The 20,321-nt window shown below is 44.0% G+C and overlaps 1 protein-coding gene across 1 annotated transcript in view, besides 4 other annotated features; it reads right to left on the bottom strand.

Moving 5' to 3' along the window:
• DLGAP2 (DLG associated protein 2) overlaps positions 1 to 20,321 on the bottom strand; it is a 970,849-nt gene that overhangs the window by 414,314 nt on the left and 536,214 nt on the right. The gene's annotated exons all lie outside the window — the stretch shown is intronic.
• Positions 1,743 to 2,037: a silencer, noted in NCBI's record as "tiled region #9258; HepG2 Repressive non-DNase unmatched - State 21:Repr, and K562 Repressive non-DNase unmatched - State 22:ReprW". NCBI's record gives its function as "represses a minimal TATA promoter and a strong SV40 promoter by Sharpr-MPRA in HepG2 and K562 cells {active_cell/tissue: HepG2 | K562}" and the evidence as "EXISTENCE:reporter gene assay evidence [ECO:0000049][PMID:27701403]".
• Positions 10,595 to 11,094: an enhancer, noted in NCBI's record as "H3K4me1 hESC enhancer chr8:1232453-1232952 (GRCh37/hg19 assembly coordinates)". NCBI's record gives its function as "activates a minimal SCP1, AML or CMV promoter by ChIP-STARR-seq in naive H9 embryonic stem cells {active_cell/tissue: H9 hESC(naive)}" and the evidence as "EXISTENCE:reporter gene assay evidence [ECO:0000049][PMID:30033119]".
• Positions 12,228 to 12,728: an enhancer, noted in NCBI's record as "H3K4me1 hESC enhancer chr8:1231435-1231935 (GRCh37/hg19 assembly coordinates)". NCBI's record gives its function as "activates a minimal SCP1, AML or CMV promoter by ChIP-STARR-seq in naive H9 embryonic stem cells {active_cell/tissue: H9 hESC(naive)}" and the evidence as "EXISTENCE:reporter gene assay evidence [ECO:0000049][PMID:30033119]".
• Positions 12,729 to 13,229: an enhancer, noted in NCBI's record as "H3K4me1 hESC enhancer chr8:1230934-1231434 (GRCh37/hg19 assembly coordinates)". NCBI's record gives its function as "activates a minimal SCP1, AML or CMV promoter by ChIP-STARR-seq in naive H9 embryonic stem cells {active_cell/tissue: H9 hESC(naive)}" and the evidence as "EXISTENCE:reporter gene assay evidence [ECO:0000049][PMID:30033119]".

The raw sequence follows: 20,321 nt of genomic DNA, 5'->3' as shown, positions 1-20,321 counted from the left end.
ACCAGCTCCTCCATACAGTTTCGGGAGGTGATGTGTCTGCCCTGAGGGACCACCTGCTCCTCCACATAGTTTTGTTGGAATTCCAGGAAGCGAGGGCGAGTCCATTCCCCTCTGCCCGGCAGGGAGCCCTGGTGGCAGCGAGCCACCTTCACGTGTGGGCTCCGAGACCCCGGGAAAGGCTGCAACCTTTCTTTCCAATACGGTGCAAGGTATCCGCAGCCTGATACTTGTTTTGCATGAAAATCAATCAGCTTTAGGACCTCAGCACATCTGTTTCTGAAGACAATAAACTATTTTTTAAATATATTGCTCAATAAGAATAACAGATAGAAAGAAATACTAACAATATCCAATAAAAAGAAAATGTTTAATAAGTGAAGAAGGAGACTCTGGGATTCACTTCGCCCCAGCTCCGAAATGTTAATTATCGTTTGTTTGTATTATAAAGAATGGGGAAGGGCTCAGGCTGGGCACTGTTCCTCTGACTTCTGAGAAATTCTAGAGACAGCAGGCATGATAATTTTTTTTTTCTGTTCAAATTGGAGGTTAATGGCTGAGGCTGTGACAAATAAATTTTAGCACAGAAGGAAATGAAGAAATACGTAGGTTATTTCACGAAAAATTCCAGGCCCAAAGGAAGATAATGGGAAAATCTCCTGTGCCATTAATCTCACTGAGATGAGCTGCACTGGAGCCCAGAAAAGGGAGGCACAGGGAAGGAGCCATGGCTCAGCTGTCCGGGAGCCCAGCCTGCTGCTGCCAGGGAAGGAGCCATGGCTCAGCCGTCCGGGAGCCCAGAAAAGGGAGGCACAGGGAAGGAGCCATGGCTCAGCCGTCCGGGAGCCCAGCCTGCTGCTGCCTGGCTGGGGGCCATGCTCCACTCCTGAGTCCCCCTGCACTGCACCAGGAGAGGGAGAGGGCATGTGGGCCCATGTGTGTGTGTGAGAGGGAGACAGAGACAAAAAGACAAAGAGATGGAAAGAGGAAGACAGAGACAGAGAGAGAGGGGGAGACAGGGAGGGATTTTCAGACACACAAGGATTGAAAATGCAGACCCTGCTCATGAGTACCCCTTTCTCCCCCACTTGTGGGTCAGGTTGACTTACTCCAGCTGCTTTGGACTCAAAGGCCTGGATAAGCACCTGTCTTAGGCATGTGGAAAAAAGAGACACGAGGAACAGCCGTTGTGCTCTGGGGGAGACGGACACGCCCAGGGTCCTAATGCAGGGAGGACACGTGCTTAGGAGCACTCAGAGGGGACCCTGACCCACGCACGGGGTGGGCACTGTTGCTGGAGGAGGCAGCGTAGGCTTGGGATGTGTGGATGAGCAGGAGTGAAATGAAAGACCTTGGGAAGGCGTTCCGAGAAGAGGGGTGACATGAGTGGAAAGGGGAGGCTCGAGACAGCAACACAATGTGACCAGCTCCAAATAATTCCTGGGTCAGAAGAAAAGTAAAGCCCCATCCACGCGACCTTTCTCAGTCTACAAAGCGTCCGAGCGACGGAGGCCGTTACATTGGGTAACAGAATATGTGTTGTCTTTTTGCTCAACCTACTTTCAAAAATATTTCAGGGAGAATTTAAAATAAAATTATACCACATATATACAGAAGTTATTAACAAAGGTATAAAATGAACAGATCAAAATTTTTTAGAGAAAGGAAAGAGATGAGCTGTTTCTTCACCTGAGAAGTCAAGTTGATCACACACACTTCTGAGCTGCCCAAAGACAGCGCACTGTCCCATCCTCCAACTGGAGGCAGCTCTCCCTGACTGGCAGGATGAGCTGTTTCCAGGTGGCTGATGGGACTCTGACATGATCCACAGGATGTCAGACCACATGCTAGGTCCACCTCTCCTCCTGTCCTTCCACATTCCTTGGCCAGAAAGAGCCAGGGCAGAGGGAACCCAATACCTTTGTTGTTTTTGAGTACAGGTGACAGAGCTCACTTTCCAGCCAACAGAGGAGGGGGTGCATGAGCAAAGCATGCTTCCCCCCAAAGCCAGCGATTCTGGAGGGTGTCCAGGGTTTTTGCTGTTTTTAATAACACAGGCTTAGCTGACACACCACAATTCATCTGTCTTCAGAGTTGGAACATTCTACTGAATCTTCCCTATTGATGTCACATCTCTAAACATTTCAACCCCTAGCATTTGCTTTCCACATCTTTATTGAAAGCCTCTCATGTCCCTACATCTTTCAGGCCCCTGGATTGTGTGATTAAGAGTCTTTTGAGAGTGAACATTTTGTAATAGTCAAAAGTTAGTCAAGGGCAAGACTGGAGAGAAGGCTGGGTGATTAGACTAAGCCATATGGCCTGCTGAGCAGTACAAAGTGTGGCTGGAGGGCAGTGAGATGGATTTGCTCGTATGATGAAAACTGGCCCCCGGGGGCTCAATGTTGGGTGTGGTGTTGGGGTCCAAAGCACACTGGAACACCCAACTTTGAGCAGGATGAGCTCTGCTGGGACATCCACTTATAGAATCTTAGATTTTAAACTGGAAGATATTTGGAGATCCCTTAGCCTGATCCCGTAATTTTAAAGATAGGAGATATGCTAAGAGTAGGCAGGGGCTTCCCCAGAATCACCCCGGATTAGGAATGGCAGGGCTTCGAATATACCACAAAACCCTCTGTGTCATGGGCTTCTCCTCCACACGGGAAATATGGCACTGAAGGGAGCCATACGTCTGCCTTTCATTCTTGCCTCGCCATGCAAAATTTTCCCTTTGACCAGTAATTCACTCTCACATGTAGAAATTGTGACTTTAGAGAGTAATGCCCATGATAGAAAAATAGCTACTCCTGCTTGCTTCTGGTTTCCATTTTCACACTTTTCCCATCCCTTTATCTTGAGTCCATGAGAATCCTTACATGTTAGCAGAGTTCTCTTGAAGACAGCAGATGTTTGGTTTGTGATTTTCCATCCATTCTGTGAATCTGTAACTTTTAACTGGAGCAGTTACACCATTTATGTTCAACATTAATATTGAGACGTGAGGTCCATTTCCAATCATCGTGATGACTGTTACCTAGATATTAAGTTTTCTTCATGATGTTATTATTTTATAGGCCCTGTGACTGTTATGTTTTCAGGAGGTTCTATTCTGGTGCCTATAGACCTTTTGTTTCAAGCTTTAGAACTCCTTTTAGTATTACTTGTAGGGCTGGTCTACTAGAAAAAGTTCTGTGGCTGGATGGGGGAGGTGGTTGTACAATATTGTGAATGTCCTTAACACCAGTGAACGGTACACTAAAAATAGTTCAGTAGTAAATTTCATGTTATGTCTATTTTTCCACAATAGCAAAAAGTAATGCCATTTCTTTAAAACACCACCTTACACAGTATTGTTTATGTTGACAGCTCCAAGCTATCAGGCCTGAGCATAAGCTTTGTGCACGCAGCATTTTAGCATTTTAACTACATACTGTCTGGAATGTAAAATGTATACATAGTCTAAAAAATCTCCCAGAAAACACAGGAAAGTGGATGGGAGGAAATTAAAGGTCAGCCACCGTCCTGCCACGGAGGCCTCTGCCTTTCTGGTCTTTCTGGTGTCTCCGCTGTCTCCCCATGGGAGCACTTGTTTCTAAAGGTCTCTGCGGGTGACTTGTCTCTTTTATAACTACTAACCTTTGATCCCTTCATTATAAAGGGTTTAGAGCCTTATATGATTTTATCCTCTGATGAGAATTAAAAGCTGTTAAAGATCTGGTCAACAGTCTCGTGGAATGGCAGGAGTGCAGGTGTGCTGGTCAGACAGCCCGATGTTCAAACCCTGCCGTCACTATGTAGGCACCATTTGTAAAGCGGGACCATCATATGCAAACTGCAGGTGTGTTGTAAATGACAACTCGATGGAATTGGATGCACCGTGTGTAGCCACGTCAGGAGCGCGACGGACGTGATTCCTTTCCCGACTTTCTCAGCTTTGCTAACTCCCTGTCTTCATTTTGTTCGAGTCTAGCTGACTAGATCTGCTTACAGAGGCCTGTGATGACTCATGTCACACGTTATGTAATAGAGTCAGAGCCTCTTCTCTCCTCAGCACCTGCAGCCCAGGTAGGAATAAATTCCCAACACCAATCACGTCACTGAGATAACACAACAGGGACCCTGAACAGTGGTTAGTTTTCTTCTTGGTGCATAGAACCTTTTTCAGCAGCTACCCCTTCCTTTCTGCCTATATCTTATCCCCAGGACCTACCATTTGATCTGTCTTGAGTATCAATAGATGGTCAAGAATATACTGAACTGGATAAAACCACTTACAAATCATCTTAAATATCTTAGGAAAGATTCTCTAAATTCCCATCACTGCTGAAATCCTGTGTTCAGACATCATGAGCAGGTTCTCCTCCTCCTCATCTGTGGTCCGCAGCAGAGCAATTCCTGCATTCGCGGGGGAGGCCGGGCTCTCCTGGGGTTGCACAGTCTCACAACATTAGCCTCGGGGGGGTACTTCTGTGAGAACACTGCACAGTGGAGGCTTCACCATCCATCTCAAAGGCAGCAGGGACTATGTAGGAACGCTAGCCAGGCCAGCCCCCAGGGACAGATATTCCCAAGGCTGCACTGAAAATGACATGGCAAAGCTGCTGGCATCCACAAGGAACGAAAGGAGCAAGGTATGAGCTTTTACAGCTCTATCCCCGCACGTGAGTCTTACTGATACTGTCCAGTGTGCAGAGGGGCTTAAAAATAGAAGAAGGGAACCCCGCAAAATAGACAGGGCATGTGTGTAGCAACCACTCTGAACTAACAGTGGAATTGAGGTGGCAACCCTGTATCTCCACTGAAAAACCAGGACTTGTTAAATGTGTCTTCTACATGTAATAATTTTCATTTCCTCCAATTTGGTCAAATAAGTAGCTGTCTCTATGTATTAGCAATCCTATAGCAAACTTACTGATCCATGTACCTCATCCAATCTTTAAATGGTTTTTGATGAATCCTTCACTCCCAATACTGGTTACTAGGACATAAACACAGCTAAATGCAGACATTGGCTTTCTCCAGGCTAAAAACAGCCTGGGGTCTCAATTCAGGGGCCTTCATGGAGTACATCAGCATTGCCAGTTCCCAGACAGAAGCAATACCGGCTCTATCTGCCAATGTCAAAAGAAAACAGATTCAAAGGGATTTTTGTTTTCCTTAGAGGTTTTCTTAAATTCAGTAACTCTAATGCATAAATGACTTGCATTTTCTAAGTACTGAACTTCATGTTAAAAATCTTATACAATTTTCTACAAAACAAGCCGAGCAACTGAATTCATTTGAAGCCTATGGAGGAATGAACACTGTGTAATAGAACCTAACAGAACCATGTACACACACACACTGAACCGAAACTAGTTCCCCTCCTAACAACCACACACACACACACTGAACCGAAACTAGTTCCCCTCCTAACAACCACGCACACACACACTGAAACGAAACAAGTTCCCCTAACAGAACCACACACACACACACACACACTGAACCGAAACAAGTTCCCCTCCTAACTACGTACACACACACACTGAAATGAAACTAGTTCCCCTCCTACCACACACACACACACACACACTCAACTGAAACTAGTTCCCCTCCTAACCACACACACACACACACACACTCAACTGAAACTAGTTCCCCTAACAGAACCATGCACACACACACACACACACACACTGAACTGAAACAAGTTCCCCTCCTAACAGAACCACACACACACACACACACACTGAACCAAAACAAGTTCCCCTCCTAACAACCACACACACACACACGCACTGAACCAAAACAAGTTCCCCTCCTAACAACTACATACACACACACACTGAAACGAAACTAGTTCCCCTCCTAACAACCACACACACACACGCTGAACCAAAACAAGTTCCCCTCCTAACAACCACACACACACACACTGAAACGAAACTAGTTCCCCTCCTAACCACACACACACACACACACACACACACTCAACCGAAACTAGTTCCCCTCCTAACAGAAACACACACACACACACATACTCAACCGAAACTAGTTCCCCTCCTAACAGAACCACACACGCACACACACACACTGAACCGAAACTAGTTCCCCTCCTAACAGAACCATACACACACACACACACACTCAACCGAAACTAGTCCCCCTAACAGAACCACACAAACACACACACACTCAACCGAAACTAGTTCCCCTAACAACCACACACACACACACACACGCTGAACCAAAACTAGTTCCCCTCCTAACAAAACCACACACACACACACACACACATGCTGAACCAAAACAAGTTCCCCTCCTAACAACCACACACACACACACACGCTGAACCAAAACTAGTTCCCGTCCTAACAGAACCACACACACATACACACAGACACACACACACACACACGCTGAACCAAAACTAGTTCCCCTAACAGAACCACACACACATACACACACACACACACACACACACACTGAACCGAAACTAGTTCCCCTCCTAACAGAACCATACACACACACACACACACACACACACTCAACCGAAACTAGTTCCCCTAACAGAACCACATACACACACACGCTGAACCAAAACTAGTTCCCCTCCGAACAGAACCACACACACATACACACACACACACACTGAACCAAAACTAGTTCCCCTCCTAACAGAACCACACACACACACACACACACACACGCTGAACCGAAACTAGTTCCCCTCCTAACAACCACACACACACACACACGCTGAACCAAAACTAGTTCCCCTCCTAACAAAACCACATACACACACACACGCTGAACCAAAACTAGTTCCCCTCCTAACAGAACCACGCACACACACACACACACACGCTGAACCGAAACTAGTTCCCCTCCTAACAACCACACACACACACACACGCTGAACTAAAACTAGTTCCCCTCCTAACAAAACCACATACACACACACACACACACACACTGAACCAAAACTAGTTCCCCTCCTAACAGAACCACGCGCGCGCGCGCACACACACACACACACACACACACACGCTGAACCGAAACTAGTTCCCCTCTTAACCATGCACACACATACTGAACCGAAACCAGTTCCCCTAATAGAACCATGTACACACACAACACTGAGTTGAACAAATGAAGCAGCTGGTTCACGTTATAAAACTGACCTTCTCTTTTTAAAAATAATTTGCTAAGGTTTATAACTGCCTAAAATAACTTGCTGATGGCCAGTTCAAGCATAAGCCCTCATTGTATTTAACGTTCTCATTCTACTGAGAATTGGTTTTCTCCTCGAATGCACTTGTGCAAATCAAGTCACTTTCCCCATACGGCCTAACAACTCTAATCCTTCCACAGGAGTTGAGTTGAATCCAGAGACACTGGGGAAGTAGTTCAGTACAGCACAGAGGGTGCACTTTGAAGATAAGTGTGGATTAACACTCCAGTTGCTCTGCTTAATGCCTTGGAGATATGTTACTGTTCTCATAGGGACTGAGTGTGAGATGCTGTACAGCCCAGCACGGATACACAGTTCAGGTCAGACTAGATCATTACAGCAGCAGAGGAGGGTATGGGCATGGAGAGGGGAAAGCTCTCACTGTCAAGCACCTCCGCATCCCAGACACAGGCCTCGGTCCTCCATTTATGCAATGTCCTCATTTTACAAACAAGAAAACAGTCTACGGGGAAAGCTCTTCCACAGATGGTAACTGGTAGAGCTTGCTTTGAACCCACCTTCTTCCTTCATTCTCTTTGCATTTCGATTTCTATATACATTGTATTCATTGGTATATTAGTCGGCTGTCACACTGCTATAAAGAACTGCCCCAAACTGGGTGATTTATAAAGTAAAGAAGTTTAATTGACTCAAAGAGCTGCATGGCTGAGGAGGCCTCAGGAAACTTACAATCATGGCAGAAGGCACCTCTTCACAAGGGCGGCAGGAGAGAGAATGAGTGCCAAGCAAAGGGGGACGCCCCTTATAAAACCATCACATCTTGTGAGAACTCACTATCACTAGACCAGCATGGCAGAAACCACCCCATGATTCAATGATCTCCACCTGGTCCTGCCCTTGACACACAGCGATTACTACAACTCAAGGTGAGATTTCGGTGCAGTCACAGATCCAAACCATATCAGTTGGTGAATTATAAAAGAAAAATGGAAGTGAACAAGTCAAAAATAGAAAGGTTTTGGGTGTTTCTTTGAGACAGGGTCTCTGTTGCCCAGACTAGACGGCAGTGGTGCAATCACAGCTCAGTGCAGCCTCAACCTTCTGGGCTCAGGTAATCCTTGCAAGGATTGGTGGGGTTGCAGGTGTGTGCCACTACGCCCAGCTCATTTTTAAATTATTTGTAGAGAAGAAGTCTAGCTATGTTGCCCAGCCTGGTCTTGAACTCCTGGGCTTAAGCAATCCTCCTGTGTCAGCCTACTAAAGTATTGGGATTACAGGCATGAGCCAGAAAAATAGAAGTATTTAAGGTGTATTTATGGCCTATCACTTCATTAAAGCAACCTATAACAAGCTTTTTTTCCCCTCTGAAAAAGCAGTGATTATTGTATGAATCAGCAGAATTATTTCCACAGACAGGTGTGTCTTGTTCACGTGGGCAGTGGACTATTATTATTCCACAGCCCCAGATACCAGATACCTGCACAACAGAATCCAGACAGGCCTTCCATCATCTCCAGGACAGGCTCTACTCATAAGCATATTCTTCTCAAATATCTTCCAAAACTAATCTAAACGCACAGTCTTATTTTCATTTGTTAGTGTCTTTTTTGAAGTATGACTGAGCTTTTTGAGAAAAATAAATCAAAAGACATTATTAAAAAAATAAATGTATGCACTGTTTTATTTTTTAACAATGAATCATGGCAAACAATTCATATGGTAGATATTGAGATGTGTGACCTCTAGTTTAGTCATCTACTTATATTCTCAGTCCACGATGGGAGCCATTGGGAACGTGACCAACACAACAGAACACTCAGAAAAATACGATGCAAGAGCCAAGTTTCCTCATTCCAGCCACGTGGAATTCAATTACATAAAAAATATGGCAGAATTTATACTACAGATAACCTGTTAAATGGCATGGGCATGATAGTGCTAAATTATGGAAAAACACCAAAAAGCAAGGGAAATAAATCGGGATGCAGGTGGAGCCAAGAACCTGGCATTTGCTGGCTTTGAGCCCTAAGAATCTGGTGCAAAGATGGGCAGGCAAAAACAAAGTAAAGGAACACAGAAGGTCAAGAATGAGGAGAAAAGAAGCTCTGGCTCATGCCTGTAATCCCAGCACTTTGAGGTGGGAGGCCAGAAGTTCCAGACCAGCCTACGCAACACAGTGAGACCTCATCTCTCAATAAACACGCAAATTAGCTGGGCGTGGTGGCACCTGCCTGTGGTCCCAGCTACTCGGGAGGCTGAGGTGGGAGGGTCAGGCAGCTGAGGCTGCACTGAGCTGAGACGGTGCCACTTCATTCCAACCTGGGTGACAGAGCAAAATAATAATAACAATAATAATAAAGAATAAACAACGAATGAACAAGATAGGAAAAATGTGTTGTGATGGACAGAAGAGCAATAAAAAGAATTGAGAGAAACAGGCAACACTGAAAGCGGTGAGTTGACAGCTCGTGGTTTGCGTGGGGACTGTGGTCTTGTCATGCAGCAAATCCTCACATCTTTACGTTAGCGCTGGAGCCCAGGTGACGGTCCACACACCTGCACACTCTCACTGTCTCCTCTCCGTGCTGCACCTCAATTACTGATGGGATCATTTTAATGGGTTCCTCTGAAGCAATTCCACAGCCCCGGATACCAGATACCTGCACAGCAGAATCCAGACAGGCCTTCCATCATCTTCAGCACAGGCTCTACTCAAAAGCATATTAACAAAAAATCTCTCCTGGAAATGTAAGCCTGCAGTGGACTCCTTAAATGACCACTGGCAACCACAGAGCCCTTTGTTCTGGAAATTGCTGTACTTAGCTACTGCAGGAGACAGCCGCGCAGTCACAATGCTCTGAGGTGTCTCACTTTCCTGCTGCTCTAAGGACAGGGCAATAGTAATTTTGAAAGAACTTTTCCTATTATCAAGAAGGCCACATACTTGTCATAGAAAATTTGGACTCTATAAAAGAAGCAGGAAGATAATAGGCATCTAGAACTCCGTCGTGAATGACAATCACTTTGAACGTTACTTTAGCTACAGATGGACGCTCTAGCATTTTCCACGTTTTCAGAAATGTTATAAAACAACACATTGAAGGGCTATGTGTGATTGTATCCCACGAACGATGTAGTTTACTCTCATACTTTAAGTGTGGTAGTGCTTAAGTTGCTTTTATAAATAAAATAGCAGTAAATATGCTTTACTTGAAGCTTTTTCTGAATATTTACTTATTTTTATGGATTGTATCCCAGAATTAGAGTGACAAGACCAAAGGGCATGAACATTTTCAAAATGCTTGTTAGGTGACAAAAAGCATTTTCACAAAAGGAAAGCTGAATATTCAATGAAAATTCTATCAGCATCATCGCTGTTCCTTTCTGCATTTTAAGCAAAGACAAATAGAAAACTGGAAATTATAACGAAGCAAAGCCGAGTGCCAAGGCTGAAAGGAACTGTCTTCTGCAGCTGCTAAAGTGATTCATCTTTTCAGCAGAGCAAAGGATGATACATTTGTAGTTTATTTTAAAATAACTCATATTCAATAAATCAAAACAAACATATGATACCCAAAGACACGTGCCTTTTATGAATGTGGAAGGTCTGGGCGCCATTGAGGGGACGAAGAGGGACAGATCCAGGGCGCTGGGTTCAGATCACACCACGTCTGGATGGTTCACGTGCTGGGTTCAGGTCGCACCACGTCCGGATGGTTCAGGGCGCTGGGTTCAGATCACACCACGTCCGGATGGTTCAGGGCGCTGGGTTCAGGTCACACCACGTCTGGATGGTTCACGTGCTGGGTTCAGGTCACACCACGTCCAGATGGTTCACGTGCTGGGTTCAGGTCACACCATGTCCGGATGGTTCAGGGCGCTGGGTTCAGGTCACACCACGTCTGGATGCTTCACGTGCTGGGTTCAGGTCACACCATGTCCAGATGGTTCACGTGCTGGGCTCAGGTCACACCATGTCCGTATGGTTCAGGGGGCTGGATTCAGGTCACACCACGTCCAGATGGTTCAGGGCGCTGGGTTCAGGTCACACCATGTCTGGATGGTTCACGTGCTGGGTTCAGGTCACACCACGTCCGGATGGTTCAGGGCGCTGGGTTCAGGTCACACCACGTCCGGATGCTTCACGTGCTGGGTTCAGGTCACACCATGTCCAGATGGTTCACGTGCTGGGCTCAGGTCACACCATGTCCGTATGGTTCAGGGGGCTGGATTCAGGTCACACCACGTCCAGATGGTTCAGGGCGCTGGGTTCAGGTCACACCACGTCTGGATGGTTCATGCGCTGGGTTCAGGTCACACCACGTCTGGATGGTTCATGCGCTGGGTTCAGGTCACACCACGTCTGGATGGTTCACGTGCTGGGTTCAGGTCACACCATGTCCAGATGGTTCATGTGCTGGGTTCAGGTCACACCATGTCCGGATGGTTCAGGGTGCTGGGTTCAGGTCACACCACGTCTGGATGGTTCACGTGCTGGGTTCAGGTCACACCATGTCCAGATGGTTCATGTGCTGGGTTCAGGTCACACCATGTCCGGATGGTTCAGGGCGCTGGGTTCAGGTCACACCACGTCTGGATGCTTCAGGTGCTGGGTTCAGGTCACACCACGTCCAGATGGTTCAGGGCGCTGGGTTCAGGTCACACCACGTCCGGATGGTTCAGGGCGCTGGGTTCAGGTCACACCATGTCCGGATGGTTCAGGGCGCTGGGTTCAGGTCACACCATGTCCTGATGGTTCAGGGGGCTGGGTTCAGGTCACACCATGTCCGGATGGTTCACGTGCTGGGTTCAGGTCACACCACGTCTGGATGGTACATGCGCTGGGTTCAGGTCACACCATGTCCGGATGGTTCAGAGTGCTGGGTTCAGGTCACACCATGTCCGGATGGTTCATGTGCTGGGTTCAGGTCACACCACGTCCGGATGGTTCATGGTGCTGGGTTCAGGTCACACCATGTCTGGATGGTTCAGGGCGCGCTGGGTTCAGGTTACACCATGTCCAGATGGTTTGCGGCCCTGGTGCATGCTCATTCATCGGCAATAACTGACACCATCACATGACCCTCTGGCTGTGGTTTGAACGTCTCTTCCAGGGCAGATCAAAGCCCAGTGTGGTGGAGCCACGTCGCAAATCAAACGTTGCAGATCAAAGGCTGGTGGGGTGGGACCGCGTCCCTCCACGCCTCTGTTCCCATCTCATACAGCTGACTCCCCGGGGAAGGCTTTCAAGGAGCTAGGACATCTGCCTCTCCCTGGTCAGCTCCTCCTTAGGGAGTGTGGGGAGCTGAATTTCATGAAAAACACTGGTGCTGTACTCTTGATTGTGTATGGATTTTATTAATAACAGCTCCCCAATGAGAATGAGGACGGGCTCAAAACTGGTCAACCCTGGGTCTCCGCTCATGTCTTTAATGCTGGCTGAGCCCCACAGGAGACATCAGGGAGTCCAGGGCTGTCTCCGCCGGGGCTGATGTGTGTTCAGCCTGTGCCCAGGGGACAGAAGGGCTGGGGAGGCGCAGGAACTTGGAATATTTACTGAGCATTGAGCTGTAAGCCACTGGGGGCGCCTAAGGGACTAGGAATCAAATCAAGGTCATGATGACAGGGAAAGCCACCAAGAGGCTGCCTTCGCCGGGAGCGAGGGGCGGAGGCACCTCCACCATCCCCCGTTTCTCACAGAACACAATGTGGCACGTGGCTCAAAACCCACATCTACGACTTTGAAGGTATCTGTATTCTGAAGTTGTGAAATCAGCACTGCTGAGACATCTATAGGATACAGACTAAAACTCGTAATATCACGCACACACATTTTTAAAAATTAAGCAATTACGGTGGGTTAGGCACTATAAGAACTTGGCATACATAATCTCATTGAAACCTACAGCATTCTCTGAGCTGGGCACTATTCTTATCTCATTTTTACAGAGAAGGCTCAGGAAGACCATTGCTTGACCAAGGTCGTGGAGCTATCGTAAGGATTCCTCGTCCACATCCAGCTGGCTCCAAATCCACATTCCCCATATAGCTTCTGATACAAACGCAGTGGACTTGTTCCCAGAATACGCATGTAATAGGTGAATGTGATTTCAGGGATAGACCTGAAGATACCTAAGCCCTAGGATGGCCTATGTGTCCCATTTAAGAATCTCCCCATTACAGGTGACATCTGCAAACACGAAGCTTGCATGGCAACCTGACCCCCAACTGCCCTTCCAGCCTCTTATCCTTATACTCCTCTGCCCAGATGAAGGTGGCACCAAGCTCTCCTACCTCCCCTCCATGCCCATGGCCCATGCACCTGCTCACATGGGCCCTGGTGGCAGCGGGTCTTCCCATTCTTCATTGAACAAAATTCCCCTTACTCCTCAAGACACACATCAAGTGTCACTTCTCCCATGAAGTTCTTTAACTTTGAGCCACAAGAAATCCCTCCTCCTTTATAGACCCCCAAACTATTACCTTTTCCTAAATCCTCCTATTAAATACCTTCCTGTTTAAAAACGCTAGTGGCATGTATTTTTCTGATACAGGGAAAATCAGTAGATATTTATTAAATAGAGATAAATAAGTATTATGACGCAGGTAGGTTTTCAGAAAATTTTCCTCAGTTAAATATTCATGGAACTCTTTTAATCTCAAGGAAATAGATGGGAAGGGGTTACGAGTACAGCCCGGCTATAAACTAAGTGCAGAGATGGTTCAAAGCCTCAGTAGCAGGACTCATGAGATTTGATCAATCAAATTGGCTGATGAAGAAGAAACCCCAGAGGCATCCAAACCAGCTAATGAAAAACCATCAGGAATGAATGAAAGGAATTATGCGACCCCTGAAGCCACATCTGGGGATCAGTTAAGGTCCCAAGAGCATTCACATACCACAAAGCTCAAAACTTCCAGACCTTACGTGAGTGCATGTCAGCAAGTTACTGAATTCTAAGCTCCTCAAAGTCCAGAACTTTTGTTCATGTTACTTCTTCATCTTGGTACAGTAGACACAACATAGGCACCTCCTGGGCTCTGCGCCTCCTGGTTCTCAAGCCTGTGTGTGAACGTGTATGAACCCCTTCCTTGGCGTGTAGACTGGGCCTGACACTGCTACTCAACAGAGGGCGGTCAAGGTCATGGGTGTCCCTCCCGTGAGTGGGTGATGTGGTGATGAGACTCCAACCTGCCTGCCACTTGCTCTGGCTCTGTTGCTGGCTTTGAAGCAGCTGCCATGAATCCTACAGCCACAAGGAAATAAATCTTACCAGCTGGCTGGGCGAGCTTGGAAGCCAGCACCAACTCAGCCAAGCCTCACAAGCTGACACCTTCATGGCAGCCTTGCTGAAGACCCAGCTACGCCATTCCCAGACCCTGGACTCTCAGACACTGAGATGACACATGTGTGTTGTTTTCCACTGCTAAGCTTACGGTAGTCTATTATGCAGCCATAGAAATCTAATACATCTAGAATTGCAATTTCCCTCCGCAGCACCTTCTTGGTATATTAATTGGGATATGTATTTCCGCCTTGAAGCTTAGTTTTGAACACATCTAACTTTCATACTTCTTGGTAAAATCAATTAAGACAGACATCATATTTATGCCCACATATTTACATAAAGTGCCAAACAGAGCTTCATTCATGGCAGGCAATTATAAAATTTTATTGGATTGAAATTGAGGTGAAGAAGATTCTAGAACATAGAATCAAGAACTGACGAATCCTAATACCACAATAATCCAAGGACTTTAGCGCTGTTCTTACAAAGGGCTTTTGAGGTTAAGAACTTCCTAACTTAAAATTATCATAGATAAGACTGTCAAAGCACACTACTGACACCTCTATTTGCAATGCTGCCCAAGTCCCAATTAGAAAAATACTATTTTGTTCTTGTTTTGTAAAATTCTGCAGTTAAAGCACACCCCCTGGGGTGAGTATAGCTCATTTCTTCCCCATTACTATATGTTCTTTATATTTTCTATATGTTCTTTATCCTCACCTTAACTGAAAGAAATCATAAGTGACTTTACTCATGTACCATCATGGGTTCAACAATCTGAAGGACATTTCTGCATAAATATCCCCTAAACATTAAATTGTCCAAAAAGTCGTACACATAGTCTTCCTCTCCTCTGGAAAGACTAAGAAATGCTTATGTTTAACCAAATGGAACACTGAAATTATTTTTATGGCTTAAAGCCTTTCATTGTCAAAGGGATCTTCATTATGTAATTCATTTATCAAATGAAAGGCAGTTATAATTGCCTATGCCTAAAACATATAGATAAGAGGGTCACACCACTGATTAGGTAAGGTAGAGAAGAAGGCACCAGCTACACAGGGATCTCTTTTCTGCAATATGTCCTTGGCTTGACTAAAGAAATACATCATTTTTATTAAAATCTGAATTTTACTAAACCTGATTTTTAAAGATTCATCAAGTTCCTGACAGTACCAGTAAGTAAACAGAATGATATGCAGTTGTTTTTTTAAGTTAGCATAAGGATTTAATTGTATTGGAATTCATTTATCCTTCTTGATATTTATCCCTCAACCAACAACAGGTAAAGTAATTGAGTAATGACCAGGCTCACGACTGCGCCGATGACATGGGGAGCAGAGTCCCCAGAGAGCTGAGGCTCTTTCAAGTCAAGGACCATGCTGTCTAATTCTGTTCTTACAACTGGAAGAGATCTTAGAAAGAATATAGATCTTCTTTTCCACTTTTATAGATAAAATAATTGAGAGTCCAAGGGAGTGAGTGGCTTGTCCGACGCATACAGCTCTTTGGTGGAGGAGAAAGAGCTGGAACACAGCTCTGCTGACTTCCGTGAGCACGGATGCCACTCCCTCACCTGACCTGGCGTGAGGTATCATCTGAATAAATGAGAAAAGAAAGGCATGTCTCCTGAATGTTGAAATTGCAAGAGACTACTGAGAAGCTGTTACTGACAATGATGACTAAAAATAATAACTTGTTTTTTAAGATGTTTGATGAGCCCCATCCCTACCAACTCCCTACCAATACCCAATCTAGAATCATGTTAAATTACCAGAGATTCAAGATAACGTTTCCGCTGTCAGCATTGTCACGGACATGACACATCTGCCTAACTGTCCTTGTGCAGTCACTGCCCCAGCAAATAGTGGGGAGTTGGACCCCTTAGAGAAACGTGCGGAGAAAGGTGAGGTTTCAGAGCAAGCCGGCCCTGCCAAGGGTGGGGGTGCTCCCTGACGTGGGTATGCTGATTCCTGCCCCGACCTCGGTGCAGCTGCTGCCAGCCTGGAAGCCCACCCCACCACTCATTTCGGATAACACTTGGATACTCAGATACTGACCTGCCTGGCTGATACTTCGATACTCCGATGCTGACCTACCTGGCTGATACTGGGATACTCATCTGCTGGGCTAATACTTGGATACCAAGACAGCTCAAGAATCATCTGTTTCATAATCATTTTTTTTTCTAATTCTCCTGACTCCTGGTAAAATTGGCCACTCCCATTTGACCCCACACATCTATCACAGGTCAGATGTTTGTTTTATATGCTTCTTGCTCTATGTATTTCTCCGTGCTCTCTTAATTTCTGCATCCTTAGTGCTTAGTCTAGAGCCTACCAAAAACAGGCTGCCTAGATTAATTTGAAATAGCAACAACAAAAAAATACAGTTACCAAATAACTGGGGGGGCTACATAGGCACAGATATACGTCTGCCACTTCAGAATGGGGAAGAAGCACATGTTATAAGTCACTCCTGGGTTCCAAAAATTCATTAGTAAAATAGCCACACTTTGAATGAAACACTATATTTCTGAGATTTCTAGATTCTGCCCTAAGGAAATAATCATGAATGAGCATGCAGATAAAGCTATGGACATAATATTCCAGAAGGTACAACTTGTATCAGAAAAATGATTAGAAACAGCTTAAATTTCCATGAAAAGGGGACCAATTCAGTAAATCACAGTGGACCCACAAAATGGAATAATATGCAACCACTAAAAATGATATTTAGGAACATATGTGATGTTATATGATTCCATAAAACAAACACCTATTCCTTGCTCATGACATTCCTGAAAACTCTGCCACAACATGAAAACTTAATTTTATTAATTTTAGTGAGAAAATGATAACGTCTTCCCATCCAAGATACTGAAGTTCTTTTTGCCAGTATAAAATATCAATTAAACAATGAAAACAACTTTACGTTTTAAATAAGCACTACATTTAAAGAAAACCAAGACATTTGGCCAATAAAATGTGAACAAGAGTGTCTTGTTCTACTCATCCAAGCAGACTTTCTAGAGGAGTCTGGGGACGTGTGCTGGGAAGTCAAAGCACCGACACAAGACGCACCACCTTTGGGCTTCCTGGTCATCGTGTACTCAAACCGCACTTAATGTGAAAACTATAGCAAGAGAAACACCTTCAGGGTAAAGCAAAGGCCGAACATGTGAAGATACACATGCAAGCAAAGTGAAGATGCCGCCTCAGCAGCCCTCCCGTCCCCCCTCACCCTTCCCTCCCCGGCACCCACTCAGCAAAGCCGGGTGGGTTTCCCAACGTGCGGCCAAGATCCAAAACGGTTCCATCTGATAGTGCCCGACGCGAATCTACATTCCAAGTGAATTCATGTGTCAGTCCAAGACACTAATGTTGAAGTATCACTTTTCATAGTGTTTGGGTAAAAAAGCAGCTATCATGATTTTTTAGGTTGTTATGAAAGAAATATAACATTGAGAGCTAGGGTCGGGGGGGGAGTGTTGATTGGAGTTGAGAGAGAGCAACTCCTTGAGCAATGCCTGAGTCTCTCCGTGGCAGGATGACAGTGAGTTTATATACATTTATATATATTATATATATATTTATATATTATATACACATTTATTTATATATTATATATTTATTTTTATATATTATATATTTTTATACGTTATATATTTATTTATATATTCTATATCTATTTATATATTACATTTATTTATATATTATATTTATATATATTATATATTTATTTATATATTATATATATTTATATACTATATATATTTATTTATATATTATATATATTTATATATTATATATTTATTTATATATTATATATATTTATATATTATATATATTTATATATTATATATTTATTTTTATATATTATATATCTTATATATTTATTTATATATTATATATTTTTATATATAATATATATTTTTATATATTTATTTATATATATTACATATATTTTATATATATATATGTCCTATTAGCTCTGTCCCTCTAGAGAACCATGACTCATACAGGGACAAAGTTCCAGAAGCCCTAGAGTGAGAACTACTTGGACCCTTTTCCTATAAACTTCTTACAAATAGAGGTTTTGCATTATCTTTTTGTCTTTGTGAAGATCTGGGAATGAAAAGAAATTCAGTTTGCATGAAAATGATGCTGTTCTGAGTTCCACCTGCATCTGGGATTGACGCTGATGTCTGACTGGAGAATGAAGTCATCTCCGGATGGCCCCAGGACCAGTGTCCAAGGCCTTAATGGTAAATGTGATGTATGTGAGCACTCCTTCAGCATCTGGGGTGCAAATCTATTGTGTTTTTTTTTTTTTCCATTCCAAATTCCCTGCTCGAGCTAGAGAGTGTACCTGGTTCTATCTGCTCTGTGGGCATCTAGTAAGCTACGATGCCTCACTGAGCCCCCAGTTACTTAATTGTAGACTGAGGGATCTGGACCATGTGACCGTAAAGGAATGATTTTTCCCTCCCCTTAACATTGGGATCAGGTTTTATACATAATAACTCCAGAGTTGCTCTGTGTAACTCAGGGAGGCACTGGGACCATGACATTGAGCCAGTGCTCGAAATTAAATTGCAGGTCCTCAGGGATCCTCTCTGCCTGGGCTGGAGCCTTCACCAATGTGGGCTCTGTCTGTCTGTCTGTCTGCGGTAGAGCAAGCAATAAACAGGGAAGTGAATCAGACAGCTGGGACTGCGGACACAGCAGCAGGCAGTGAACACTCACTCATGGCTGCCGCAATTCCTAGCACTGGATTAGGAGAGGTCTACAAGGAATATTCATAAAGTAATTGCTACCGAAGGAATTAAAGCCAGAGAGCATTTTAAGTTGATGAGTTAAGAGAAAGAGGGTTTCTTGCCTCCTTTTGTTTGGAATTATATACCAAACATCCAGCCTGAATGTTTGGTATGTAATTCTTAGCTTTAGTTCAGCTTGACCACAATTACGGCAAAAAAAAAAAAAAAAAAAAAAAAAAAAAGATAAATGAAAACAACTATCTCAGAAAACAAATCCAAAGTCACTCATTTTATGGTTTATGTTCTAAAACAAATCCAAAGTCACTCATTTTATGGTTTATGTTCTAAAACAAATCCAAAGTCACTCATTTTATGGTTTATGTTCTAAAACAAATCCAAAGTCACTCATTTTACGGTTTATGTTCTAAAACAAATCCAAAGTCACTCATTTTATGGTTTATGTTCTAAAATAAATCCAAAGTCACTCATTTTATGGTTTATGTTCTAAAACAAATCCAAAGTCACTCATTTTATGGTTTATATTCTTATACATGTTGGCTTATTTTATGGTTTATTTTCTTATACGTGCTGGCTTATTTTCACGTTCACATGAGAGTCTGTGTGGGGGCACAAGTGTGGTTGTGTCATGCGTGCGTCATTCCAGTACACTTATGGTGGGTGGGGAAGAGTTCACAATTTTAAATAATTTTATTTGTTAAATAAGTTTAAGATTTATTTGAAATATAAATACATAATTTATTTTAAAATTAAAATATTAAGTTAAAAATTTAAGATATAATTTTAAAATTTTCTATAAATGTAAAAAAATCTGACTCTTGCAAATTCCGATATGCTGAACAGAGCCGTCACGCTGTTAGAATTCTAATGATTTTATCTCAAAGCTTTTATTTAAATTGACAAGACTTTCATATATGAAAAATGGTTACTGAATGACTCAGGTTTGGAACTGATTTCAAAATCAGAAAGAGCATTAGTGAGCACACACCTTATTGTCCAGAGTCAGAGCAGATTCCCGGCTATATATGAAGATATTAAAGTCCATAAATTTCATTTAAAGTCTCCCATTTGGAATTCT

Source organism: Homo sapiens, chromosome 8, assembly GCF_000001405.40.
Source record: "Homo sapiens chromosome 8, GRCh38.p14 Primary Assembly".
Lineage (NCBI taxonomy): Eukaryota > Metazoa > Chordata > Mammalia > Primates > Hominidae > Homo > Homo sapiens.
This window is presented reverse-complemented; position numbering and strand designations above follow the sequence as displayed.